Source organism: Homo sapiens, chromosome 17 (genome assembly GCF_000001405.40).
Source record: "Homo sapiens chromosome 17, GRCh38.p14 Primary Assembly".
Lineage (NCBI taxonomy): Eukaryota > Metazoa > Chordata > Mammalia > Primates > Hominidae > Homo > Homo sapiens.
The window spans coordinates 42,032,369-42,059,682 of record NC_000017.11 but is presented as its reverse complement, the minus strand read 5'-3'; the positions used below and the strand labels follow the sequence as shown (position 1 = coordinate 42,059,682).

General features: G+C 53.9%; 2 protein-coding genes across 10 annotated transcripts in view, besides 3 other annotated features; both read left to right on the top strand.

Annotated features, from left to right (window-relative positions):
- The window catches only part of ZNF385C (zinc finger protein 385C), a 72,898-nt gene that overhangs the window by 38,791 nt on the left and 6,793 nt on the right, over window positions 1-27,314 (top strand). For 5 of the 8 annotated variants that reach the window (NM_001392014.1, NM_001392013.1, NM_001393562.1 and 2 more), the window contains 2 exons: window positions 21,798-21,946; window positions 25,348-25,458. In NM_001392014.1, coding sequence (NP_001378943.1) covers window positions 21,798-21,946; window positions 25,348-25,458 — 260 coding nt within the window. Of the gene's footprint in view, window positions 1-5,803; window positions 5,844-21,797; window positions 21,947-25,347; window positions 25,459-27,314 lie in introns of those variants that run through there. The other 3 variants (NM_001392018.1, NM_001378270.1, NM_001392017.1) reach the window with 3 other exon arrangements.
- Window positions 7,803-8,304: an enhancer, noted in NCBI's record as "H3K4me1 hESC enhancer chr17:40203397-40203898 (GRCh37/hg19 assembly coordinates)". NCBI's record gives its function as "activates a minimal SCP1, AML or CMV promoter by ChIP-STARR-seq in naive H9 embryonic stem cells {active_cell/tissue: H9 hESC(naive)}" and the evidence as "EXISTENCE:reporter gene assay evidence [ECO:0000049][PMID:30033119]".
- Window positions 8,924-8,993: a silencer, noted in NCBI's record as "silent region_8512". NCBI's record gives its function as "represses an Ori minimal core promoter by ATAC-STARR-seq in GM12878 lymphoblastoid cells {active_cell/tissue: GM12878}" and the evidence as "EXISTENCE:reporter gene assay evidence [ECO:0000049][PMID:35858748]".
- Window positions 9,074-9,273: a silencer, noted in NCBI's record as "silent region_8511". NCBI's record gives its function as "represses an Ori minimal core promoter by ATAC-STARR-seq in GM12878 lymphoblastoid cells {active_cell/tissue: GM12878}" and the evidence as "EXISTENCE:reporter gene assay evidence [ECO:0000049][PMID:35858748]".
- Window positions 9,082-21,451, top strand: C17orf113 (chromosome 17 open reading frame 113). 2 transcript variants are annotated; one of them, NM_001358661.2, is made up of 3 exons: window positions 9,082-9,126; window positions 16,120-16,849; window positions 18,494-21,451. In NM_001358661.2, exons 2-3 carry the CDS (start codon window positions 16,307-16,309, stop codon window positions 19,976-19,978), a joined length of 2,028 nt encoding a protein of 675 aa, NP_001345590.1. In that variant the 5' UTR covers window positions 9,082-9,126; window positions 16,120-16,306; the 3' UTR covers window positions 19,979-21,451. The 2 variants fall into 2 exon arrangements, with proteins under 2 accessions (NP_001345590.1, XP_047291174.1); XM_047435218.1 differs by having other exon boundaries at window positions 9,082-9,664.

Below are 27,314 nucleotides of genomic sequence, written 5' to 3'. Positions count from 1 at the left end.
ACCACTGCACTCCAGCCTGGGCGACAGAATGAGACTCTGTCTTAAACAAACAAACAAACAACAACAACAAAAAAGGTCACAGCTCCAGAAGAGAGTCCCAGCTAGAGACAGGCTGCCCAGATGGCTGCGGACTCCCCCTCTACCTGGTTTTCCTCTTCCCACAGTCCCCATGCCCCTCAGTACTGGGTCAGAACGGGGGCGTGGGGGCACCATCTTAGGGGTCATCAGGAGACGTGAGGCCTGATACTCCAGTCCAGATTGTTAAATTGGACCTGTGAAGTCACTGGCCATCCGTTGTGTGTCATCTGTCACCTCTCCCTCCAGCCCTGTGCTGGGCTCAGGCAGGATGCTGGGCAGTACCACTGAGCAGTGCCTGGTACCTGCCTCTGGGCACTCACAGTCTAGAGGAGGAGGCAGACATGGAACCAGACCTTTTCAGCCACCCAGCCTAGGAGGAGTGACCAGCACTGTGGGAGTGGGGCAGGGGAGGGGAGTGATAGCTGTGCCTAAGGCAGTGGGGACGGGTCCTTAGATTTCCAGGAGCCCTGGAATTCTGGGGCTCCAGCTAGAGAAGCTGCCTTCTCCATTGGCCTGGTGAACTCTGGGCCTGCCCTGGGCCATGACCCTCCCAACACCCACTCCCCTCCCCTGGCTTTCTCCTGTCTCCTCAGTTATCTGAGAGCTGGGGGTGGAGGGCGGCCCCCAGCAAGAAGATGCCAGCAACTTGGTCAGGCGCGGTGGCTCATGCCTGTCATCCCAACACTTTGGGAGGCCGAGGCGGGTGGATCACTTGAGGTCAAGAATTCGAGACCAGCCTGGCCAACATGGTGAAACCCCATCTCTACTAAAAACACAAAAATTAGCCAGGTGTGGTTGTGGGGTACCTGTAGTCCCAGCTACTCGGGAGGCTGAAGCAAGAGAATCACTTGAACCCGGGAGGCAGACGTTGCAGTGAGCTGAGATCACGCCACTGCGCTCTAGCCTGGGCGATAGAGACTCCATCTCAAAAAATAAAAATAAAAAAAGATGCCAGCAACTGCCCCTGAGGTGGGGGGCAGGGCGAGGGGGAGCACGTTGGGCCCCTCAGCCGCCCTGGATGCCTCTTCCAGCTCTGCCCAGGTGGGGACTAGGCCAGTGTGCCCCTCTCCACAAAGCAGAGAGCCCTTAGGGTGGAGCTCCCTGGTGGAGGCTCCCTGGGGAAAATGCAGAGGGCCACAGCCATTCCAGGGAGGCTGAGGCTAAGTGTGGGCAGCCTTGAATGCGCTGCATTGGTCCTAGGCACTCAGTGTCCGGGGCGCCATGCCAGATTGAGACACGAGGTCTCGGGCCTCTGGCAGCCAGGAGGGGCACTTTTCCGTGGGAGCTGTCGCTTTGATTAGGGGCCTGCAGGGCTGGAGGCTTCCACAGTGACAGGTGGTTACAGGCAGTAAGGCAGGGACCCTCTCCTGCTCACATCCCCTGAGGCCATCTGTGGGAGGGAGACTGGGGGGTGGTTCTCCCCTCTCTGAGCCTCCTCACCAAGATCTCAGTCAGAGGCCTCCTTCCTCAGCAGTATCTGGCTCCTGGAATTCTTACTCCCAGCACTGAGTGAGCCCTGGAATACCTTGGAGGGGCACAGGAGGAGGAAGCAGCAGGAACCCACACTTCGTCTCCCTCCTCCAAGCACTGCCCCGACTTACCCTGCCCACCCCCCATCTGTCTCCTGCCCAGGAAGCCCTTTCATTCTTTTTTCTTTTTTTTGAGACAGAGTCTCACTCTGTTGCCCAGGCTGGAGTGCAGTGGTGTGATCCCAACTCATTGCAACCTCCACTTCCCAGGTTCAAGCGATTCTCCTGTCTCAGCCTCTCTAGTAGCTGGGATTACAGGCACCTGCCACCATGCCCGGCTAATATTGTATTTTTAGTAGAGACGGAGTTTCACCATATTGGCCAGGCTGGTCTCAAACTCCTGACCTCAGGTGATCCACCTGGTCGGCCTCCCAAAGTGCTGGGATTATAGGCGTGAGCCACTGCGCCTGGCCTCTTTCATTCTTCAGGAATGCATCTTGAGCCTTCTTTCACCCCCTTGCCTCTCCTCCCAATGGGGGTGTGGCACAGGGACCTTCCCCAGAAGAAGGCTGAACTCCATGACCCTATGGACCATCACACACACACACACACACACACACACGCGCGCGCGCGCGCGCACACCCCTAAATAACTTTAAGTGATTCTCTGACAACTGCAAAGAGACAGAGGTTTGCTGTCCCCTCGCACTAACCTCTGATACAGATGTTGAGCCAGCACAGGGCATCGGGGGACAGCTGGGCAAGGAGCAATGACCTACCCCCAGCCCCACACAGAGGATCTGCTTAGGAGCTGAACAAAGCACTTGCACCTGCAGCATGGCATTTCCTCCTCACCCAGCCATCCTAGGCACGGATGATGACATTCAGTCTCACTTTATAAACTGGGAGAGTGGGGCTCAGGGAGATTAGGTAACACCCAAGGCCACACAGTTGGGTTTGGGTCCTAGGTTTCTGACTCTGTTTTGTTTTGTTTTGTTTATTGAGACAACGTCTTGTTCTGTTGCCCAGGCTGGAGTACCTGGCACAATCATAGCTCACTGCATCTTTTACCTCCTGGGCTCAAGCAGTCCTCCTCCCTCGGCCTTCTAAGTAGCTGTGACTACAGGCATGTACCATCATGCCTGGCTAAATTTTTTTTTATTTTTAAAAAGTTTTGTAGAGATAGGGTGTATTAGTCCATTTTCATGCTGCTGATAAAGACATACCAGAGACTGGGCAGTTTACAAAAGAAAGAGGTTTAATGGATTCACAGTTCCACATGGCTGGGGAGGCCTCACAGTCATGACGGAAGGTGAAAGGCACGTCTCACATGGTGGCAGACAAAAGAATGACAGCCAAGTGAAAGGGGTTTCCCCTCATAAACCCATCAGATCTCGTGAGACTTTTTCAGTACCATGAGAACTGTATGGGGGAAACTGCCCCCATGATAGTCATCTCCCACTGGATCCCTCCCACAACATGAGGGAATTATGGGAGCTACAATTCAAGATGAGATTTGGATGGGGACACAGCCAAACCATATCACAAGGTCTTGCTATGTTGCCCAGGCTGGTCTCAAACTCTTGGCCCCAAGCAATCCTCCCACCTCAGCCTCCCAAAGTGCTGGAATTACAGGTGTGAGCCCTTGCACCCAGCCCCAGGTTTCTGGCTCTAAATTCTATCTCACACTCCTCTCTGATGCCCTGCTGAGGAGAACAGCATATATTAGGAGCAACTGAGCCATGTTTGAGAATGGGGAGGAGTATGGCCCAGAGAGGGCAGGCTGTCCCAACAGATGATTCCACAAATGCTCGGGACCCATGGCCACTCCTCTGCCCTGTCCCTTGGTGTGCTCAACTGAAAAATGGGGAGATGCCAGCCATCTGGCTAGGGATGGGGAGACTAGCTTCTTAAGGTCAACCAGTCCCTCCCTTGTCTCTTGGTAGAAAGAACCCAGTCATCCAATTCAGAGTGGGCCTGCCCCATGGCATCCATTGCAACATGACACAAGAGGGGAGAGGAGGGCATTTCTGAAATGACTTAAGCTCTGGCTTGCTGAAATGGCCTGAAGAACCTTAGTCAGGGAGTGCAAGGTAGACAGTACGGGGGACAGGTTAGCAGAGATCGAGTCAGACTATAGTGGATTTCAGGGCCAAGAAGGCTGCAGCTACACTACATGTCCCTGTGCCTTCCAGCGGGAGAGGGGTAGTGGTAAGAGTGGCAGGCCAAATCTAGGCTCCCCTACTCTGCATCCTCAGACCTCCCCTAGCTCCTGTTTGAATCGGTCCCTCCATCCCCTTTCCAAGTCTTTGACTGCAGAAGCCTCTGGCTGCATCCTGGGCCCCAGAGATCAAAGACCTTGAGCTCAAGTCACGCCTGAGTCACTGGCTTGATGAGCTTCTCACCCCCACTCCCTGCAGATGGATTAATTTCAGTCCCATCAGGAGGCCCCGGAAGCCCTCCAGCCTGTCTCCCATCCTTCGGTATCTCCCTGGGTTGCCGTTTTCTCCCCAGTCACGGCCTCCCACACACATACTGAGGCCTTTGGGTGCATGCTGCAAAGAAACTGTGCTCCCCCAAGGCCACTGAGAAGTTCTTCTTGCAGTCTGACCTGCCTCTGCCTCCTGCTGCTATTCTCCCTTGGTGGCAGGTGACAGAAGTGCCCCACGCTCTTCCCGAATGTCATCACATCCCCCTCCCCCAGGTGTGACCCTGACCATTGGCATCCCCCTCCCCCAGGACCACCAGGAAAAGCAAGGCTGTCTGGGTACAGAATTAGGGGGCTTAGCTCAGATCCCTGCCCTGGAAGAAGACAAAGATTCTGTCTGTGTCTCTGGGTGGGTTAATTAGCTCTGGGCTTGAGTTTCCTTCCTCTCCCCACACAAACAACTCCTCCCCCCAGAGCCCCTTCCTAACAAACCTGTTTTCAGGAGCTGCCGCTGCCAACCCCTCCCAGATCTTCTTTGTGAATGTTGGCTGCTCCAGAGATTACAGGTTATTGTCTGGTGGAGACAGGATGCTGAGGGGGTCGGGGGCTAGCATCGGGACCTGGGCTTGGATGTAGGACTGGATCCAGCTGTGGGCTGGCTGCCTCCTTCCCCCACTCCACCCCCTCCCAGCCACCAGGTGCTCAGGTCGGTAAAGAGCCAGCTTTTAGGAAGAGGAGGGAGAGGAAGGAGTGAATGGAGAGGAGAAGAATGGGGCTGGGGGATCTTGGGTGGGCATGGGAGGGGTGTCAGGAGTTGTAGTGGATCAGGCCGGGTGCTGTGGCTCACACCTGTAATCCTAACACTTTGGGAGGCCAAGGCAGGTGGATCATTTGAGGTCAGGAGTTCGAGATCACCCTAGCCAACATGGTGAAACCTCCTCTCTACTAAAAATACAAAAATTAGCTGGGCATGGTGGCAGGCACCTGTAATCCCAGCTACTCTGGAGGCTGAGGCAGGAGAATTGCTTGAACCCGGGAGGCAGAGGTTGCAGTGAGCCAAGATCTTGCCACTGCACTCCAGCTTGGGTGACAGGGCGAAACACTGCTTCAGAAAAAAAAAAAAAAAGAAGTTCTAGTGGATCAGATAAACTCCCTCCTCTCCTTCCTGGCATCGCCCAGATAGCAGATCCAAGGGTCCAGGTACTAGACTAACAGTGGCAAGACACCTGGATCCCTGCTCCCCAAACCCTGCATGGCCAGTGCTCTTTGATAAAGTGGCAACACCTCTCTGAGGCTCAGTTTCCTCTTCAGCAACAGCAGTTAAACATAAGGGGATGGTGAGGAGAGGATGAGTGAGGCTGGGCAGGAAAACGGGCTCCTGCAGCAGCAAGTCCTGAGGCAAGAGGGCGGCAAGAGCCATCCAGCAGGCAGAGCAGGACCAGCAGCTCCTCCTTCCCTGGAGGTCCCTGTGGACAAAGTCAGTCCTTCCAACCCTTCACTTCAGTGTAAGAGGCCCCAGGCAAGGGAATCCTCTGTGAGTAGGGGGTGAGGGATGCTCCCCGATATCCTCCCCCAGTTCTTGGTCTGCACATTTGCCCCCACACTTCTCCCCTGGGGGAAGAACATGCCCTGTTCTTTCCACCTGTGGTTGGGATGGGGGAAACCAGAGAATGGGCAGCTCCTTCCTGGCAAAGAGAGACAGGGCCCAGGAACGACGCTGCTTTCCAGGCAGAACCAGGAGTCCCTCCCTCGCGCCCTCCCCTCCTGTCCCTCACATCCCCCCCTTCCCTCTGTCACTCTGGCTGGGTTTCATTTGCTCCTCGTTCTGCACTCCGCGGTGGTGCCTCCAAAGGCAGAGAATGCTCTTGGGTGAGTGCTGATGACGCCCGGGCTGGGAAGTGGGGAGAGGGCTTAGGTGAGGGTGGTCCTCTCCCCTCTCCCCAGCCCAATCCTTTCCTGCTATAGTTGGCCCCCAAAAGTTGTCTCTCAGAGACACCAGTAGCCAGTTACTCTCAACCCTTTTCCCAGGTGCAGAGCTGGGCAGGGAAGCCCCCACTCTGGCCGAGAACAAAGGTGAAAGAAAGGGTAGGAATGCTGGGGAGCTGGAGGTCCACCCTGCGGGAAACAGGGGTGCTGGACATCTGGGCAGATGCCTGTCCAGGGAGCCCATGTCAAAGGTTCCTTGTATCAGACCTCACCTTTAACTGCCTCTGAGGGGCCAGGGGAGGGGGAGACGTCCGAGGGGAGTGAAGAGAGAGCTGTTACTGCAGCACAGAAAGAGAGGGAAGCAGACAGAGGGGGACAGAAATCAGGGTGCCTCCTCCCTGAGATCCAGCCACTGCACTGGGGTCCAAATCAATGCTCCCCTCCCCCTCTTTATCTGTGGTCTCCCAGCTCACCTCTCCACACAGACGGTTGCCTGGCCTTTTTTGAGGGAGACAGCCATCACCCATCAAAGGCTATTTGGGGGAACCCTTTCCTTGGGGGCAAGGGCCTGGAGGCAGTGCGACTGGGGGCAGAGTTTATGTTGTGATTGGGCTTTGGAGTCTTCCTCCAGCTTGGGGGCAGTCTGCACATCCTGAGTGCTAGATGACCCAGAAGTGGCTTGGGGGCTCTGGAGAATGTGGGGAGGAACCCCCTGGCCATGGTGGGAGTGGGCATGCAGTGGGTCTTGGCTCAACCTCTCACTCTCCACTTTGGCTCTCTCTCCCCTGGACTCCCATATTCTTCGCAGAGTTTGGGTTTTTATCCATGATAGAAATGGCAGTGTCATTATTTGAGATGTGTTGTGTGCAGGCATGTGCTTCTGGGAGGACCCTATTGTCTGCCCCGTGACTTGGGGGTAGGGGGATGGGGAAAGAGTGGGAGAGAGACTCTGTTTGGAGATATGCTCTTTTAACTCCGATGCATTTAACTTTGTAAGGGGAGTGTGTGTGCACACCGGTCTCTGCATCTGCATATGGCTCTTTGTGTACATGCATCTATCTTTGTGAAGGTGTGTGCCACTGTGTGCCCATTGCTGTCCATGGTCTGTAACTGCATTTGTAGGAGTCTGTACGTTCATGTGCATCTGTCTCTCTGGGTATATGTATACACAAATATGTCTTTGTTGCTCGTGCCCATCTGTGTATGCATGCATGCTCTTGTGTGGCCAGTGTGCCTGCCTTTGCCTCCCAGCCAGCATGGGTATCTGTGTATCTTGGCATCAGTACCACCTCCATATGTATACACATCTCGTGTGTAGATAGAATACATGGTCTAAGTGTGGGGGGAGGTATGTATGTATGTGCCTTGATGTCTAAACCTGCCACTATCCATGGGTGATATGGGCCTCAGGTTGTGTGTCTCTGTGCTCGTGTGTGTGTGTCTGTCTGTCTGTCTTTTCCCATTATGGCAAAATAGCAGGATGTGGTTTTCCCAGATCTTCTCCCTTGGTGGCAGCCAGGGTGATGTTATTTCATAAGATTTCTGCTCTGTGCCCTGCCCCAGCCTCGGTTGGACCTTTGGGGGCAGCCTCTTCTTCTGTACTGGTCTGGCTTGCTCATACCTCTGACCACACCCCACCCTCTTGAGGCAGTTAGCTAATGAGCCATGGCTGCTCCAAGACACTTAAGGTGGCTGTTCCGCAGCAAAATGCCATCCAAGAAGACCTACCCCCAACCTGACCCTTTCAGGGTGCAGAATTCTAGACCTGAGGGCTGTGTGGTGCCACTCGGGGGCAGCTGTGGGGGCTGCAACATCTCCCTTCATTTGAGTGTAGCCAGGAGTCAGGCGGCCACACGTGTGTGTGCATGTGATTCGCGCTCCATCCCAGCAGCTCTGGGGCTGGGGTTCACAGTGAATGTCAGAGGCAGACGGTGGGTGGCACAGAGCAGTGCTGCATGGAGGATGCTGGGGCAGAGGAGTTCCCAGCAGCCACTGGTGGGGCTGGGACCTCAAATCAACATGCACCCTAGGCCTTTTGCAGAAGAGCAGCGTACCCAATTGTGAGGGGACTGGAAGGCATTTCTGGGTGACTTTGTGCTGTCTGGAAGGGGAGACTGGGTCATTGTCTGGACATGCCCTTGATCCACAGCAGCAGGCCAGCCCCCTCTCTGAATGGCCTCCACACCTAGCACCTCATTTGGTCTTCAGACCCATTTCTGTCCTGCCCTAGCCTCCTCCCCAAGTTGTAATTCCCACTTTACAGATGAGGAAACAGGCTCATAGCTAAGTGTCCAGTCCAAGGCCTCAGAGTTAAATATAACTGGAGCTCCATCCCAGGCCTCTGGACTCCACACCTCCACGTCTGCACATTCCTCTTGCAGGGAAGCTCCTCAATTCACCTCTCAGAGTAACGCAGACCGGGATGAGGGTCGGCTGTGTATCAGAGTTTTAGAAAAAGGTCACGCCAACCTCCCTCCCTCTTCCCCACTCTGTCAACCCCACTGCAAATAACTCACTAGGCTAAAACAATAAGCTTCCCAGTTCCAACTCCTCCGGAGGAGGCTTCCCACCAGGTGGGAAGGTCAAAATCCCCAGCATTCCCCTAGAGCCATCCAGCATCAGGCACTGCCCCCACCCACCCCAATTCTTCATGAACCTGCAGCGACCTGTCAACTTCCAGAGGAATCCTTGCTCTGCCATCCCACGGCCTGGAGTGCCCTTCCCCTAGTAAAAGTTCACTTACCCAGAATGCTGCGAACCCTAATTGACCCGCCCTGCAGACCTTCAGCTGGTCGCCCGCTCCTTCGTGATCCCAAAGCACTTGCTTCCAAACTCTCAGAACACTTTGCAGCCTCTACCGCGCTCTACCTGTCTGTGGCTTAGGCTGTGAGCCCCTCGAGGAACCCCGGATACATGCGCGGACCGAATGAACCCCGGCACCGCGCTGCCTGCGGTCTAGCCTCTGGCTCCTGCTGCCGCGCGTGGGGCGGCAGGGGCTGGGGGGTGGGGCCGGGGCCGGGCTGAGCGCGCTGGGCGGGAGGCGCCGCAGGTGGGCGCGGCCAGGTGAGCCCCGGGGGCGCCGCCCGCCCTGCCCGGGACCCTGGCCGGCGCTGGCTGCTGGCGCCTCTTCGCCCCCGTTGCCGCTAGTGGCTGCTGTCGCTCCGTGGAGCCCAAGGAGACCGCGGCCAGAGCGTCCACCGCCCAAGATGGTGGCTCCTGTGTCTCCGTGAGTGCGAGCGGACGGGGCGGGGGCGCCAGGCCGGGCTGGACGCCCCCTCCCGGAGCGGGCGGGACGGGCGGGCGGAGGCTCAGTGCCTCTGCGGGACCCACCGAGGGCTCTGTCACCGCGCGCCCCCCAGAGGAAGTTCCTCAGCCCTCCCCGTCCCAGCCCCCGGGAGGATGCGTGAGAAGAGGTGCAGGGGAGCCCCTTCTCACCAGGGCTGTCAGAGCAGGGGGCGCCCGGCCCTGTCTGCTGAGTGCTGGACTTCTCTTAGTGGGGTCCCAAAGCAAGGGGCCCCCAGGAGCCCGGGGAGGAGGCTCGGGACCCACATTCTGGGGCCACATGAATACTGTTTGAGGCTTACATGCCTTGGGGTCCTTGTCAAGTTGTTCCTGCTCCCATCCGGCTGGTCAGGGTGTGGAGAGAAATGAGAGGAGACCTGTGTCTGCAGCAAGTGTGCCCTCCTGGTCAGCCTTGGTCACAACTGGACCCATGGAGTTTTGTTTACACCTCACTCCACTCAGCCTGTTTCCTTGAGGTTGAGGTGGGGAGAATGTCAATGGAATTTGACCTGTTTATAGCAGCTCTGTCCAATAGAACTTTCTGGGATGATGTAAATGTGCTGTCCAATGCAATAGCCACTAGCCACATTGGCTACTAAGCACTTGAAAAGTGCCTAGTGTGAGCTGAATGCTAATGTTTTATTTAATTCTAAGTAATTTAAACAGCTGCATTTACAATAGCTGCAGTGGCCAGTGGCTGCTGTGTTGGACAGAGCCGTTTTAGAATCTCCACCTTCCTGGGCTCTACCTACCTGCCTTTTGTTCTGCAGAATGGGCAGGATAGGCAGCTTCGATGTACATGGAAAGGATCTGACAAAATTCCAGAAGGGCATCACCTTGCTTTTGCACCCCTCTGCCCCCATTCTGAGATCCTGTGCATAGTGGGCTGGGCAAGGTCATAGAATCACAGGATCTTGGGAGGAAAGGATGTCAAAGGCAGCTGTTTTAATCACCTAAAAGGTGCCCAAGGGCTGGCTCCACTGCCCTCTCTGCCTGGGAACCTGCTCTTTCTTATTCACTGCCCAACTGTGTGGTGCACTTGCTGGGTGTCAGGCACTGTACCCATCTCTGGGATTCAGACATGAAGAAGTTAGTTACCTTTCCTGCCCTCAGGGAACGTGCATGAGAAGGGGGGTGGAGAGAGGATGAAGCAAGAGAACTACACAGATAGAAGCAGAGATTTGTAATCTGTGGAGCATGGAATGGAGAGAACAAACAGGGAGCAATGACAGAAAAGAAGGGACTTCCTGGGAATGGATGGTTAAGCTAAGGCCAAAGGGGAAATGAAACAGGCCAGGTAAAGCATTGGGAGGGCAGCTGGGAATATTCTGGAAGAAGGGACAGCACGGGCAAAGGACCCGGGGGATGGGAACCTGGCACTCTGGAGGAACCCAGAGAGAAGGGTGGTGTTACTAGGAAGGAAGGGAGACACAAGTGGCCACCAGAGAGGTCAGTAGCCCTGGGCATTTGGCAGACCTCAAAGGAATTCTGGCACTGGCCTTAGAGGAGTGGGTGGTTGTGGAGGGGTCTAAAGCAGTATTTTTGTTTTTTTTTTTTTTGAGATGGAGTCTTGCTCTGTCTCCCAGGCTGGAGTGCGGTGGCATGATCTCGGCTCACTAAAGTGGTATATTTTTAAAAGCCCCCCTCTGGTTAAGAGAGGTTAAGAATGGAAACCCAGTGTGCAGTCAGGAAGCAACTGCACTCGTCCAGGCAAAAGATAAAGGTGGCCTGGACAAGGCCGCCAGGCAGTGGTGTGGAGAGAAGGGACAAGTTAGAAGTGGATTTTGGAGGAAGAATCAACAAGACCTATGGATGGAGCAGGTTCTGGATGTAGAAGAGAACAGGGATTGAAGGGCAGGTTTCTGGACAGGGCACCTAGGAAGAAGGATGGATTTCATTTCCTGAGACAGGGATGATTGGGAGAGGGGCATATTTGCTTTTGTTTTTGTTTTTAGAGACAGGGTCTCGCTGTGTCACCCAGGGTGGCTGGAGTACAGTGATGTGATCACAGTTCACTGCAGTCTCAAACTCGGGCTCAAGTGATCCTCCTGCCTCAGCTTCCCGAGTAGCTGGGACTATAGGCATATGCCACCATGACCGGCTAATTTTTTTTTTTTTTTTTTTGGTAAAGACAGGTTCTCCCTATGTTGCCCAGGCTGGTCTCAAACTCATGGGCTCAAGCAGTCCTCCCACCTCAGCCTCCCAAAAATGCTAGGATTACAGGTGTGAGCCACCACATCCAGCCAAGAATGGCATATTTATAAGGATAGATCAACAGTTCTGTCTAGGAACAGGCCGGGGAGGCAGCTGGATGGAGTGGTGTGGTGCCCAGGCTGGGTTTGTGTATTTCCCAGTGGTCTGCAGAGATGGTTCTGAAATGTTAGACAATTTGAAGTTGGGAAGGGGGGGAGGAGATGACCTCCAGAGGCCAAGGAGTGATGGACAGAGGAAGGAAAACCAAGGAACATGGGATCCTAGAAGCCAAGAGAAAAGAGGATTCCAAGGAGGGTGTGGTGAGCATCACCAAGTGCCACTCAAGAGTCCCAAGGGCCAGGCACGGTGGCTCACACCTATAATCCCAGCACTTTGGGAGGCTGAGGCGGGCAGATCACGAGGTCAGGAGTTCGAGACCAGCCTGACCAACACGGTGAAACCCTGTCTCTACTAAAAATACAAAAAATTAGCTGGGCATGGTGGTGCGCGCCTGTAATCCCAGCTACTCAGGAGGCTGAGGCAGGAGAATCGCTTGAACCCAGGAGGCGGAGGTTGCAGTGAGCCGAGATCACACCACTACACTCCAGACTGGGCAACAGAGCAAGACTCTGTCTCGAAAAAAAAAAAGTCCCAAGGAAGAGGGCCAAGAAGTTACGATTGCATCTGGCAGCCTTTCCTTGCACCAAACCAGCCGGCCCTGGAACTCTCCTCATCTGCCCTTGTTTTACCCACCTACTATGTGCTGGTTCCACACAGGGCACTGGTATACATGTCAAGTGGACAAGACAGTTACTGCAGTCTCAGAGCTTCAGATCGTCTAATTGGGCCAGGCGCCTGTAATCCCAGCACTTTGGGAGGCTGAGATGGGCGGATCATCTGAGGTCGGGAGTTCGAGATCAGCCTGGTCAACACGGTGAAACCCCGTCTCTACTAAAAATTCAAAAAAATTAGCCGGGGCCAGGCGCAGTGGCTCACACCTGTAATCCCAGCACTTTGGGAGGCTGAAGCGGGCGGATCACGAGGTCAGGAGATCAAGACCATCCTGGCTAACATGGTGAAACCCTGTCTCTACTAAAAATACAAAAAAATTAGCCGGGCATGGTGGCGGGCACCTGTAGTCCCAGCTACTCAGGAGGCTGAGGCAGGAGAATGGCGTGAACCCGGGAGGTGGGGTTTGCAGTGAGCCGAGATCGCGCCACTGCGCTCCAGCCTGGGTGACAGAGTGAAATTGCGTCTCAAAAAAAAAAAAAAAAAAAATTAGCCGGGCATGGCGGCATGTGCCTGTAATCCCAGTTACTTGGGAGGCTGAGGCGGGAGAATCGCTTGAATCCGGGAGGTGGAGATTGCAGTGAGCTGAGATCGCACCACTGCACTCTAGCCTGGGTGACACAGTGAAACTGTCTCAATTAAAAAAAAAAAAAAAGGAAAAAAAATATCATCTAATTGACAGTCTCAGAAACAAGAGTTCTTTCATGTGGCCAAAATGAATCCATTCATTTCTTTTTTAATGTGTTGGCATTGTTTTCTATTTTTATTTTATCTTTAAATGTTATTTATTTATCTTTTGGAGACTGGGTATTGCTGTGTTGCCCAGGCTAGTCTTGAACTCCTGAGCTCAAGTGATCCTCCTGCCTTGGCCTCTCGTATTTTTATTTTTAGTTTAAAATTTTATCTATTTATTTATTTTGAGACAGGTTCTCACAATTTTTCCCAGGCTGGAGTGCAGTGGCATGATCATAGCTCACTATAGCCTTGAACTCCTGGGCTCAAGTGATCTTCCCACCTCAGCCTCCTGAGTAGCTGGGACTACAGGCATACACCACCATGCCCAGCTAATTTTTTAAAAACATTTTATTTGTAAAGACAAGGTCTCCTTATGTTGCCCAGGCTGGTATGGAACTCCTGGGCTCAAGAGATCCTCCTACCTCAGCTTCCCAAAGTGCTGAGATTACAGGTGTGAGCCACCATGCCTGGCCCTTTCATTCTTTTAAACAACCAACTTTTACTGAGAGGTATCTGTGTGCCCAGCCCCAGACAGGGACTTACGAGATATGAAAATGAACAAACATGGTCTTGGCTTCTAGGAACTCAGTGCAGAGATATGTACAGAATCCCTGTATTCACCATATTGTGTCATGAAGACTCACGCATAGGGAGCTGTGGGGAACTAGAGGATGGCTACCAGCCCAGGTTGTGGGGATCAGCATGGCAGAAGGGATATCTGAGCTGCTCTCAGGCAATGAGTGGGAATTAGTAAGGAAAGAGGAGGGAGAGGGAATTCTAGGCTCAGAGGATGAAGGCAGGGACAAAGTAACAGCTTGGTGTCTACTGGGAATGCAAGCCTTCAGGATTGATTGGGCAGACAGGAATGGCGGGAGGCTCTATTAACAGAAGTATTCAGAGGCTGGGGAGGGCCTTGCTGGCTTGTGGTTAGGTGTGTAGACTTAGGCAGTGGGATATCAGTAAAGAGGTGGAAACTAGGGAGTGACACAGTTGGATCTATGTGTGAGCTTGCTGTCTCTGGCTGTTGGGTGAGGGATGAGTCTGGGGGAAATGACCATGCAGAGACCGAGGCAGCTGCAGTGATCGAGGTGATACCGTGAGGGCCTGAACTGGGCCAAGGCTAGGCAGCTGGAGGGAGAGAGACAGTACAGACCAGGGTCTCAGTACAGCCTTTGGGGTCAGGAGGTCACTCTGATTGAGCCTCAGCTACTTATTGCTTATGAATCCTGGAGCAAGCCAGTTAAAGTCACAGACCTCAGTTTTGTCCTCTCCAAAAGGATAATATCTCAGCCACAGAGAGTCATCTGGGTCTGACCCTGGATCGTTGTAAAGCACTTAGCACAGGGCCTCAGTTCACATTCCAGAAATGGTAGTTACATTTAGGCATGAAGACGAGGACACAGGTTGGAGAGATAATTAAAAGGTAGAGTTAAGGCCAGGCGCGGTGGCGCACGCCTGTAATCCCAGCACTTTGGGAGGCCGAGACGGGCGGATCACAAGGTCAGGAGATCGAGACCATCCTGGCTAACACGGTGAAACCCCGTCTCTACTAAAAATATAAAAAATTGGCTGGGCGCGGTGGCTCACGCCTGTAATCCCAGCACTTTGGGAGGCCGAGGCGGACGGATCACAAGGTCAGGAGATCGAGACCATCGTGGCTAACACGGTGAAACCCCGTCTCCACTAAAAATACAAAAAATTAGCCGGGCGTGATGGCGGGTGCCTGTAGTCCCAGCTACTTGGGAGGCTGAGGCAGGAGAATGGTGTGAACCCGGGAGGCAGAGCTTGCAGTGAGCCAAGATTGCGCCACTGCACTCCAGCCTGGGCCACAGAGTGAGCCTCTGTCTCAAAAAAAAAAAAAAAAAGGTAGAGTTGGCAGGTTTTGGCCAATGGCTGGACATGGCTTTTCAGTCCTGAACTGCTCATCCTGGCCTCGTGCCTGGGGAGGTGGCAGAGTGAGGGAGGTAGAGGCAACTGGCTAGCTGCCTTCAGTCTGAGGCCCCAGGTCTGGGCTACCCATCCCAGAACCACAGTACCAATGGGTATGAGTGTGAGTGTGTGTTCACCTGTGTGTATAAGGAATGGAGCTTTAGAGAAAGCAAATCTTCCTGTGTCTTGGAAAGAATCAGCTTTCTGCTGATTTCTTTTCTTTCTTTTTTTTTTTTTTGAGACAGAGTTTTGCTCTTGTTGCCCAGGTTGGAGTGCAATAGCGTGATCTCGGCTCACTGCAACCTCCGCCTCCCGGGTTCAAGCGATTCTCCTGCCTCAGCCTCCCGAGTAGCTGGGATTACAGGCATGTGCCACCATGCCAACTAATTTTGTTACCTTTAGTAGAGATGGGGTTTCTCCATGTTGGTCAGGCTGGTCTCGGACTCCTGACCTCAGGTGACCTGCCTGCCTCGGCCTCCCAAAGTGCTGGGATTACAGGCATGAGCCACCCCACCCGGCCGTCTTTTTTTTTTTTTTTTTTTTTTTTGAGACAGGGTCTAGCTCTATTACCCAGTCTGGAATGCAGTGGCGCCATCATGGCTCACTGCAACCTTTGCCTCCCAGGCTCAAGCAATCCTGCCTCAACCTCCCCAGTAGCTGGGACTAGACATGCACCACCATGCCTGGCTAATTTTTTTTTTTTTTTTTTTTTTTAGAGATGGGGTTTTGCCATGTTGCCCAGGCTGGTCTTGAACTCCTGGGCTTAAGTGAGCCACCTCCCAAAGTGCTGGGATTATAGGAGTGAGCCACCATGCCTGGCCTGATTTCCTTCTGATGAAATAGATGACTGTGGGCTGAAGGGCACAGTCATCTTTTGGGCTAGGAGTTGAGAGTTCTGAGTTTTAGTCCTGGTTCACTATGAACTCCTCATGGGCCCTGAGAACCACTACCTGTCTCCAGACTCAGTTTCCCCTTTATAAAATACAGTTGCCTAGGTGATGCCAGCCTTTCCAGTTCTGAGATGCTTCATCAGTCAAAGCGAATTAGTGCCTTGTCCTGGGTGGAAAGAGACCCTGGGAGGGGGCTGGGGTCCCCATACCTCCCCTGCTTTGGATAATGCTCTAGGGCCCTTTGCATGACTCCACCCACTGCCCAGAGCCCCTGCCCCAGTGAGTCCCTCCACCCCTCAGCTGGGAGGACTCTGTGGGCAGCATGAAGCCTACCACTCCACCCTAAACCACCCCTACCATGACAGACCCCTAACACCTCTGCCTGTCTCTTTCATCTCCAGTCTCCCACCGGCAGAGCAGGAATAAACTCTCCAGGCTTAGATGGATGGGCCCTGTTAGCCTGGCGGGCTGCCCCCAGCCTGCCTCCCCATCAACTCTCCTTGTCAAGGGAGGTGCCTGTGTGTGGGGGAGGCAGGGGGGCAAGAGCATTCAGGTGGGGGTTGGGGGTTCCTTGCTGAGAGAGCAAGAATGGTGCCCCCAGGGAAGAAACCAGCGGGAGAGGCCTCCAACTCCAACAAGAAGTGTAAGCGTTACTTCAACGAGCACTGGAAAGAGGAGTTTACCTGGCTGGACTTTGACTATGAGCGGAAGCTGATGTTCTGCCTCGAGTGCCGCCAGGCCCTGGTACGGAACAAGCATGGCAAAGCCGAAAACGCCTTCACTGTGGGCACAGACAACTTCCAGCGCCACGCCCTGCTGCGCCACGTGACCTCAGGAGCCCACCGCCAGGCTCTGGCTGTCAACCAGGGCCAGCCCCCTTTTGAGGGCCAGGCTGAAGGTGGAGGGGCCTGCCCAGGCCTGGCTACGACCCCTGCCTCCAGGGGCGTCAAGGTGGAGTTAGACCCGGCCAAAGTGGCTGTGCTGACTACTGTGTACTGCATGGCAAAGGAGGATGTGCCCAATGACCGCTGCTCTGCCCTGCTCGAGCTGCAGAGGTTCAACCTGTGCCAGGCACTGCTGGGCACAGAGCATGGCGATTACTACAGTCCCAGGAGGGTGAGGGACATGCAGGTGGGTGACAGCCAGAAGTATGGGGGAAGGGCTTGGGAAGGGAGGACACTGAGCCACCTGGGAACAGCCCCAGCATGCCAGCTCCTTGGGGAGCAGCTAGGGCATTTCATTCATATCTTCACCCTTCAGAACCTTCCCTGAGAGCCTATGTCCCTGGTCCTGGGCCAGCTGCAGGGATACAACAGTGAAGAGGCCAGACCAGGCCTCTTAGCGGGCACAGGGGCACTCTTCTCACTGCCTAAATCAGACGTTGCAAACTGGTGGCCTGGAGGCTTGATTGACCCACAGATGTATTTAATTTTTTTTTTTTTTCTTGAGGAATCTCACTCTGTCACCCAGGCTGGAGAGCAGTGGCGTGATCTCAGCTCACTGCAACCTCTGCCTTCCTGGCTCAAGTGATTCTCCTGCCTCAGCCTCCCTATTAGCTAGGAATATAGGCATGTGCCACCACGCTCAGCTAATTTTTGTATTTTTAGTAGAGACGGGGTATCACCATGTTGGCCAGGCCAGTTTCGAACTCCTGACCTCAGGTGATCTGCCTACCTCAGCCTTCCAAAGTGCTGGTATTATAGGTGTAAGCAACCGCGCCTGGCCTCTGTTTTTTGTTTTTTGGTTTTTTTTAAACATAGAGATGGGGTCTCATTATGTTGCCCAGGCTGGTCTTGGGCTCCTGGCCTCAAGCAATCCTCCTGCCTTGGCCCCGCAAAGTGCTGGAATGGAAATGGAAATGACTTTTGACTTAGTTTTCTTTTGGGGCTGTTTTCTGTGCTGAGCCTGTTTAATTGGTTTTCATAATGTTTTTGAAAAACTCGAATGTGTTTCAACTTTTAAAAAACTCAGGAGATTACATATAAAAATCTAGATTTGTGACTTGTGTTGAAAAGCAAGGTCCCCATGCTCTCAGAGCAGGATGTGCTGGAGTTGGAGAGCAGGGTGTTCCCTCTGGCTTATCCCTGGCCCTCTCCAAGCTCAATATCACTCACATGGCCCCTGGAAGCATGCAAATTGCAGCTCTGTCCTAGGTACTAACTGTGTAAGTCCTATGGGCTGGGTTGGAGGTGGGGGAGTTGGATCTCATCCTACAGAGATGACAAATAGAGAAACAGCACACAGCTGGGACCCAGGGTGACTGGTTGGGAGTTGGGAGTGAGTGTGCCTATCAGTTAATCACTGAGCTGGACAGTGGAGGGAGACCCCCAGGAATAGGGCAGACTAGGATGATGCTATAGAAAAACACAGTGAAAAAACTAGCTTTCCTAGAGCTCTTTATGATTCATAAAGTGCTTTTACCACAACAAAAGTTGATGTTTATAATTCACAACAAGCTTTGAGAAGATTTCGGGCTGGTATTAGCTGACAGCAGGTATAAGAGCTGAGAAAACTAGACCGGGTGTGGTGGGAGGCCGGGGTGGGAGGATATTCTTAGACAGGCCAGGAGCTGTAGAGATGAGAAAACTGAGGCTCGGAGAGGTGAAGTGACTGGCCGAAGGTAGCACAGCCAGTAAGTGGCAAAGCCAGGATTAGTCCCTAAGTCTGTCTAACCTCAAGGCCTGGGCTCTTTCCACCACCCCGCACTGCCTGCCTCCGCCTCTCAGGACAAGCCTAACTCAGTCCTCCCTCCCTTTCTTTCCCTGGCTGTCCCAGGTGGCCATTGCCAGTGTCTTGCACACAGAGGCCTGCCAGCGCCTGAAGGCATCCCCATATGTGGGGCTGGTGTTGGACGAGACCAGAGACTGGCCGGAGTCACACAGCCTGGCCCTGTTTGCCACTTCAGTGTCCCCCTGTGATGGCCAGCCCGCCACCACCTTCCTGGGCAGTGTGGAGCTACAGGAGGGCGAGGCCACTGCTGGCCAGCTCTTGGACATCCTGCAGGCTTTCGGCGTATCTGCACCCAAGCTGGCCTGGCTCAGCTCAAGCCTCCCCAGTGAGCGCCTGGGGAGTGTGGGCCCACAGCTCCGGGCCACTTGCCCACTGCTGGCAGAGCTGCATTGTCTCCCTGGCCGGACAGATCCTGAGCCCCCGGCCTACTTGGGTCAATATGAGAGCATATTGGATGCCCTATTCCGCCTCCATGGTGGCCCTAGTTCCCACTTGGTCCCTGAGCTCCGGGCAGCACTGGACCTTGCAGCTATTGACTTGGCAGGGCCTCGGCCAGTGCCCTGGGCCTCCCTGCTGCCTGTAGTGGAAGCAGTGGCCGAGGCCTGGCCTGGCCTGGTGCCCACCCTGGAGGCTGCAGCCCTTGCCTCACCTGTGGCGGGGTCACTGGCCCTGGCCCTGCGCCAGTTCACCTTCGTGGCCTTCACCCACCTGCTGCTGGATGCCCTGCCCTCTGTGCAGAAGCTCTCCCTTGTCCTGCAGGCAGAAGAGCCGGACTTGGCCTTGCTGCAGCCTCTGGTGATGGCGGCTGCGGCCTCCCTCCAAGCTCAGCGCGGCTCAGGTGGGGCCCGCCTCCAGGGCTTCCTGCAGGAACTGGCATCCATGGACCCTGACGCCAGCAGCGGACGCTGCACCTACCGCGGCGTGGAGCTGCTCGGTTACTCCGAGGCTGCGGTCCGGGGCTTGGAGTGGCTCCGGGGATCCTTCCTGGACTCCATGCGGAAGGGCCTACAGGACTCCTACCCCGGGCCTTCGCTGGACGCCGTGGCCGCCTTCGCAGCGATCTTCGACCCCCGACGCTACCCGCAGGCGCCGGAGGAGCTGGGCACGCATGGCGAGGGGGCGCTGCGGGTGCTGCTGCGCGGCTTTGCTCCTGCCGTGGTGCGCCAGCGGGCGCTGGGCGACTTCGCGCTGTTTAAGCGCGTAGTATTCGGCCTTGGGCGGCTCGGCCCGCGGGCCCTGTGCACCCAGCTGGCGTGCGCGCACTCGGAGCTGCACGAGCTCTTCCCCGACTTCGCCGCCCTAGCCGCCTTGGCTTTGGCGCTGCCCGCGGGCGCTGGCCTGCTGGACAAGGTCGGCCGCAGCCGGGAGCTGCGGTGGTGGGGGCAGAGTGGGGCCGGGGAAGGCCGGGGGGGCCACATGGTGAAGATCGCAGTGGATGGGCCCCCGCTGCACGAGTTTGACTTCGGGTTGGCTGTGGAGTTCTTAGAGAGTGGGTGGGGAGAGGGCTTCCTGGGGTCGCAGCTCACCTGAGGGTGGCCTCCTTCCCTCGGCCCATCCAGCCTGGGGCCCTGGGCACTGTAAGGGCCAACCTAGACTTGACCATGCTGCACCCAAGATGATCTGCTGACTGCAGCCTCCCAGGGGCCTGAGGCCATCCACCCGCCCTTCTGGAGCTTCCCACCAACCCCCCCCACCCTGTGGGCTGTGGAGGAAGGGACTGGCTCAAGAGGGGCCTGGGCGGGTGGGCAGAGATGCTAGGATCTGGGGTACCCTAAATCATTCCTGGCCTTTACACAGTTAGATGAGGAGTAGCTCACCCTTTTCCCTTCTGGACTCGGGGCAAGTTTGGGTCCCCCCAAAGATGGGAGTTTTTGGCTTGGGGAAGGAAGACTAGGTCTTGGAAATTGAGTGGCTGAGGGAACGGACACTGGTCCTTGGTCCTTGGCTGTTTCTTTCTTTTTCTTTTCTTTTTTTTTCTTTTTTTGAGATGGAGTCTTGCTCTGTCGCCCAGGCTGGAGTGCAGTGGTGTGATCTTGGCTCACTGCAACCTCTGCCTCCTGGGTTCAAGCAATTCTCCTGCCTCAGCCTCCTGAGTAGCTGGGATTACAGGCGCCTGCCACCATGCCTGGCTAACTTATGTATTTTTAGTAGAGACAGGGTTTCACCATGTTGGCCAGGCTGGTCTCGAACTCCTGACCTCAAGTGATCCACCTGCCTCGGCCTCCCAAAATGCTGGGATTACAGGCATGAGCCACTGCGTCTGGTCCTTGGCTGTTTCTTAGCCCCACTCCTGGCAGTGTCTCTTCTCTTCAGCTATGACTGGGGAGTAGATGACCGTGCTTGTTTCTGACACACAGCACAGTGTCCTCTCTGTACACAAGCTGGTGGTTCAAGGGCCAATGGTTCCAGAGAGATAGTGGTTCCCTTCCTTCCCTCCTCACCAATAGGCAGCCTCAGGCCTTTTCTGTGTATAACTGTGTATATAGACATAAAAACCTACAAATGTGAAATAAATCTATGCTATCTTTCATAGTGTTACCACACAAACATCTAAAAGGACTACTTTTGGTTTTGCAATGACAGGGTCGAAAAAAGCCCCAGATGGGCTGGATTTTTTTTTTTTTCTGATATTTTCTTCCTCAAAGTCCAGTTGCTCTCCAAGTTCCTACCCCTCCCCTGCCCTTGCCTCAGACCTTTAAGACCAAAGACTGCAAAACCACAGTGCTGTACCTGCCACCTCCAAGGACTGGCGTCGAGGCCCAACCCAGGAATGTTGGCTTATTTACCTCCTGGGGGAAGCAGTTTAGGCCTCATCAGAGCTGGGGAGCACATCCCTTCAGAGCCCATGGGTTTCCCATTCCCTCCTGTCAGCCCTGGCCATGAAATCCTGGGGATCTGGAGGGAGGGAGGATAGTTAGAGAGTGAGAGGGGCGAGGGCTAGCCTTTTCCTAATACCCCTGGGTTTGAGTTTAATTTGCAATAAAATGGAATCCCAGCACATCATGCAGTCTCCATGGTGGTGTGTGTGTCAGGGCCTGCCCAGACCCCTCTGTCCCTCTCTTGGCTGGGCTGCCCTGGGGTTCAGTATGCTGCCTCAGTAGGGGCAGGAGGGTCATCCCTCTGGGCTGGGAGCCTCAACTGTGGACTCCCTGCCTCTGCTTCCCCAGCTGTGGGGAGGAAGGGCACAGAGAAGGGGGCTATAATCACTATGGGTCTGGCTGGTGCCACTCTGTGAAGAGAGACACAGGTTTCTGCCCAGCTCCACACCCAAGAAGCCCACCCGCCTCTTGTTCTGGCCACGGGGGTAGGACAGAGCCCATTTCAGACCCTGCCCTTCTTCCTCCTGCAGCAGGCCCGGCCTCCGGCGCCCCCAGCCCCCTGCTGGCCTCCCTGCCCCTGCCCACCCGGCCTCTGCAGCCCCCGCTGGACTTCAAGCACTTGCTCGCCTTCCACTTCAATGGCGCTGCCCCGCTCAGTCTCTTCCCCAACTTCAGCACGGTATGGGCTGGGCTGGCGGGTGGGGGCATGCACACAAGCTTGTGGGTGGGCACAGAAGGTGGGTTCAGAGGGTCCAGCTCTCAGCAGCTGGGTCTAACCAGGAGCTTTTTCTCCAACATCCCCCAGAGGGGATAGGTGCTCCCCAAATAGGGACCCCTATTTGGGATCCTAAGAGAGGGACCCGCTCTCTCTTAGGCTGGGGAACAAGATGGTGTCAGCCCTTTCCCCACCCCCACCATCATAGCTGCTGGGCCTGCAAGGGCCTGTAGTCTGTGCATTCCACTTAAGCTTCTGTGTAGGCGCTCCTGTGGATGACGTGTGTGTGTGTGTGTGTGTGTGTGTGTGTGTGTGTGTGTGTAACCTGTGCCTTTTTGTTGTAGTTTCTATAGGTTTTGTATGTTATATGTGGATGTGAGTTTGTGTGTTGGTGTCCAACGTGTGTTTGTAAACAACTCTTTGTGCATGGGTAATTTTATGTAATTAAGGTATGTGCCTGCACAATCTGAGGGTTTATTGTGTCCTTGTGTCTTTTGTGTGTTTGGCGTGTATCTGCCCTCTGAGCATGCGTGTTTTTGTGTGGCTTGGGTGATTGTGAGTTTACCTGTGGTCATGTGCCCTTTGTGTGCATGAGTGTGAATTGTTCTGCTTGTCTGAGCATTTGTAACTGCCTGAAGCTTCTGTGCTGTGTGTGTGTCCTAGTCTGTACATTTCCTTGTACACGTGTGCATAACAAGTATATGAATTTTAATTCACTATATGAGGGATCAGCAACCATCTCTGTTTTTTTAAATTTTGAAAACTCAAGTGAAATCATGGGTGTGGCATGCCCCATCCTGAGCAGATGGTGGCAAACTCCACCTCAGTCACACTTAGGAATCCCTTCCCTCCCACCCTCCAGAGTTAGACAGAGGTCCTAAGGAGTCTGAGGCATTTGGGGGGTGGTCCTCTGGTCTTGAGTCCTTGCTGTCGCTTGCTGACAGGCTCACTGTTGAATGGCATGGTTCCAATTGCAGGGGGCCCCTGCAGGCCATTCTCCTCTGAGGTCCTGTCCCCTGAGCCCCTTGCTGGCCCTGGGTGCTGTGAAAATTTGAACCACTTTCTGTTCTCAGGGAAGTTTCTGCACCCATGTTCTTCTCTCTAAGCTCTGTTTTCTTTTCTTGGGAAGGTTTGGAAAGTTCCTTTTTTATTTTATTTTATTTTTATATAAGCAGAGATGAGGTCTCACTATATTACCCAGGCTGGTCTCAAACTCTGGAGCTCAAGGGATCCTCCCACCTCGGCCTCCCAAAGTGCTGGGATTACAGGTGTGAGCCACCACGCCCAGCCTGGAAAGTTCTTGACAAGTTCAGACAGCTGCATTTGGCCCAACTTCCTGAGAAAAGGGAACATAAAGCCTTAATTCTATAGAAGAAAAAAATGATTTAAAATAAGGAAAAGAAGCTAGGTGCAGTGGCTCATGCCTGTCATCCCAGCACTTTGGGAGGCTGAGGTGGGCTGATCATCTGAGGTCAGGAGTTTGAGACTAGCCTGGCCAACAGAGATGGTGAAACCCCATCTCTACTAAAAATACAAAAATTAGCCGAGCATGGTAGTGGGCACCTGTAGTCCCAGCTACTTGGGAGGCTGAGGCAGGAGAATCGCTTGAGCCCAGGAAGCGGAGGTTGCAAGATTTTGGCTCCGCCATTGCACTCCAGCCTGGGCGACAAGAGGGAGACTCCATCTCAAAAAAATAATAAGGAAAAGAAAAAAAATCCAAATTAATATTCCAAAGAAACGATCCTACTCCTTGGGGAACCTTAGGCCTCCACTTGCTGCTCCCTGCCCCCTACTGGCCCCCCACCTCCCCTGGCTGTGGCTCTCACTCTCTCAAGAGAGGTCGTCATGGCTGGGCACGGTGGCTCACACCTGTAATTCCAGCACATTGGGAGGCCAAGGCAGGCGGATCATTTTGAGGGCAGGAGTTCGAGACCAGCCTGGCCAACATGGTGAAACCCTGTCTCTACTAAAAATAACAAAAATTAGCCAGACGTAGTGGTGGGCGCCTGTAATCCCAGCTACTCGGGAGGCTGAGGCAGCAGAATCACTTGAACCTGAGAGGTGGAAGTTGCAGTGAGCTGAGATCATGCCACTGCACTCCAGCCTGGGCGACAGAGCAGTATTCCATCTTATAAAAAAAAAAAAAAAAAAAAAAAAAGGTCGTCAGCAGCCTCAGGCCCTGTGACAGTGATAGAGCTGATGAGATAGGACTTATCTTCCCCCAGCCCACAGGTCCCTGCATGAAGCCTGGGTGATGGGAGAGGAAATTCCAACAGACGAGTTCTTTGTCTCTTCCCTGCCTCTCCTTGTTTCCAACTCTCTGTCCCAATAGTTGTAATTATTGCAAAGGAGAAAAACAAAAAACAAAAATAATGACCTAAGGGGCACCAAGAGATGCCAAGGTGATCACCAGGACATGGTTCTATGTCCCAGAAACATGCAGGGCACTCTGGCCATTCCCCTGCTTCCAAGCAGAAGCCTAGGCTGACAAATAAAGACAGCCGGGAGAGGCTGTGTATTTTTCTTTTCTTTTCTTTTCCTTTCTTTTCTTTTCTCTTCTCTTTTTTTTTTTTTTTTTTTTTGAGACAGAGTCTCACTCTGTTGCCCAGGCTGGAGTGCAGTGGCGCAATCTCAGCTCACTGCAACCTCTGCCTCTGAGGTTCAAGCCTCCTGCCTCAGCCTCCTGAGTAGCTGAGACTACAGGCACGTGCCACCACACCTGGCTAATTTTTGTATTTTTAGTAGAGAAGGAGTTTCTCTTGGCCAGGCTGGTCTTGAACTCCTGACCTCAGGTGATTCACCCATCTTGGCCTCCCAAAGTGATGGGATTACAGGCGTGAGCCACTGCACCCAGGCAGCTGTTTCTTCTTCTTTCTTTCCTTTTCTTTTTCTTTTTCTTTTCTTTTTTTTTTTTTTGAGACGAAGTTTCGCTCTTGTTGCCCAGGCTGGAGTGTAATGGCCTGCTCTCGGTTCACCGCAACCTCCATCTCCCTGGTTCAAGCAATTCTCCTGCCTCAGCCTCCCGAGTAGCTGAGATTACAGGCATGCGCCATCACACCTGGCTAATTTTGTATTTTTTTTTTAGTAGAGATGGGGTTTCTCCATGTTGGTCAGGCTGGTCTTGAACTCCCAACCTGAGGTGATCTGCCTGCCTCGGCCTCCCAAAGTGCTGGGATTACAGGTGTGAGCCACCGCGCCTGGCCCAGCTGTTTCTCTTTCCAACATCCACAGGATGGAAAAGTTCTTCCTAGAAGCTGACCAAGGCCCTCTTCAGTCATCTTTAGTTTTGGGCATTTTGTGCTGCCCCCGACCCCTGCTTCCCAAGCCAACCCCAGAGTTATTATGCCCTCCCACTCCCTTCACAGATGGACCCGGTCCAGAAAGCTGTCATCAGCCACACGTTTGGTGTCCCCTCCCCTCTGAAGAAGAAGCTGTTCATTTCCTGTAACATCTGTCACCTGAGGTTCAACTCAGCGGTGAGACAAAGTAGTGAAAGCAGGTCTGGGGAGGGGGCTGGGCAGGGAGAGGGCTGGAGGCTGGGCTTTCAGAGTCCTTCTGGGAGGAATATCAGTGGCAAAGGGGCTGTGGTCGGTATTTTCCACCCTGGCTGCAGAAGAGGCACTCTTGGTCCTTTAACCATCGCATCCTCTCCTCTCTCTAGATTCTTCTGCCCCTTCCCCTTCTGCCCAGCTGTAGCCCAGTGGGATTCCATTTCCTTCCCCCCAGGCCTCTCTCCTGTGTTCTGGATCCTTCTGCAAGAGAGAAGACTGCCCTTCCTCCACTCCAGGTCCCAGTGGCCCATCTCATCAGCTCCTGGTCTGGAGCTGAGCTCTTAAGGCACCTGAGAGTTTACAGAATGTGATCATGCCCATCCCCTTAAATAATAGTTTTCATGATACATCTGTGAGACGGGTGGAGGCGGGATTTTTTTGTTTTGTTTTGTTTTTTTAGACAAGGTCTCACTCTGTCACCCAGGCGGGAGTGCAGTGGCGCAATCTTGGCTCACTGCAGCCTCCACCTCCAGGGTTCAAGTGATTCTTGTGCCTCAGCTTCCCTAGTAGCTGGGATTACAGGCATGTGCTACCACGCCTGGCTAATTTTTTTATATTTTTGGCAGATACAGGGTTTCACCATGTTGCCCAAGCTGGTCTCGAACTCCTGGGCTCAAGTGATCCACCCACCTCAACCTCCCAACATGCTGGGATTACAGGTGTGAGCCACCGCGCCTGGCCTAGAGGCGCTATTATAATCCCCGATTTTCAGATGAGGAAAGTGAGCCTTAGAGAGGTTAAGTGACTTGCCTAAGACCACACAGCTGGTAAGTAGCAAAGCTGGGATATGAATCCAGGCCTGGCTGACCCCAAGGTCTATGACTTTCTACTACAGCCTACCCCTTTCTACTACATCTTACCACTAGGTAGAGGAGGAACCTCATTCTGGCCTCCCAGGGAAGGTCTACCTCCTGTTAGGCAATCTGGGGTTTCGGTTGGATGCCAGCAGAACTGCTGTGGTATAGCATCCAGGGAGGGGCCATGGGGGCCTGTCTTTCCCATGTTTCAAGGAGGTGGGCCGGGGAGCAGCAAGTGAGGACCCTTGGAGGGAGGACACTGACAGACCAGATTTGAGGATTCCCTTCAGGCCTTCTGGTTCCATGAGTCCTGCAAGAGATGGAGGAGAGGCTGGGCGTGGTGGCTCATGCCTGTAATCCCAGCACTTTGGGAGGCCAAGGTGGGTGGATCACTTGAGGTCAGGAGTTAGAGACCAGCCTGGCCAACATGGTGAAACCCCATCTCTACTAAAATACAGAAGAAAAAAAAAAAAGCAGCCAGTTGTGGTGACAGGTGCCTGTAATCCCAGCTACTCGGGAGGCTGAGGCAGGAGAATCGCTTGAACCCAGGAGGCAGAGGTTACAGTGAGCCTAGATTGCTCCCGTTGCACTCCAGCCTGGGTGACAAAGCGAGATTCCGTCTCAAAAAAAAAAAAAGATGGAGGAGAGAATTCGTTCTGAGGGAGGAACCATTCTTCTTCCTGCCGGACCCCGGGCACAGTGCCTGGCAAATAGCAAATGCTCAGTAATGACTTGTTGAACAAATGAACAAAGGGATGAATGTTCTGGGGTACATACACCCCAAAGTGTGGGGATTGCTCTGCTTTCTCCATTTGTGCATTGATACACTTGATAACTAACATTCATTGAGCACCTACTCTATGTACTCGGCCCTTGTAATTCATGTTCCCATGTAATTCTGACAACCCCATGAGGTCAGTATTATCATCACAGGGTTTATGGGTGAGGAGACTCAGGCTCAGAGAGATGTTACTTGCCTAAAGA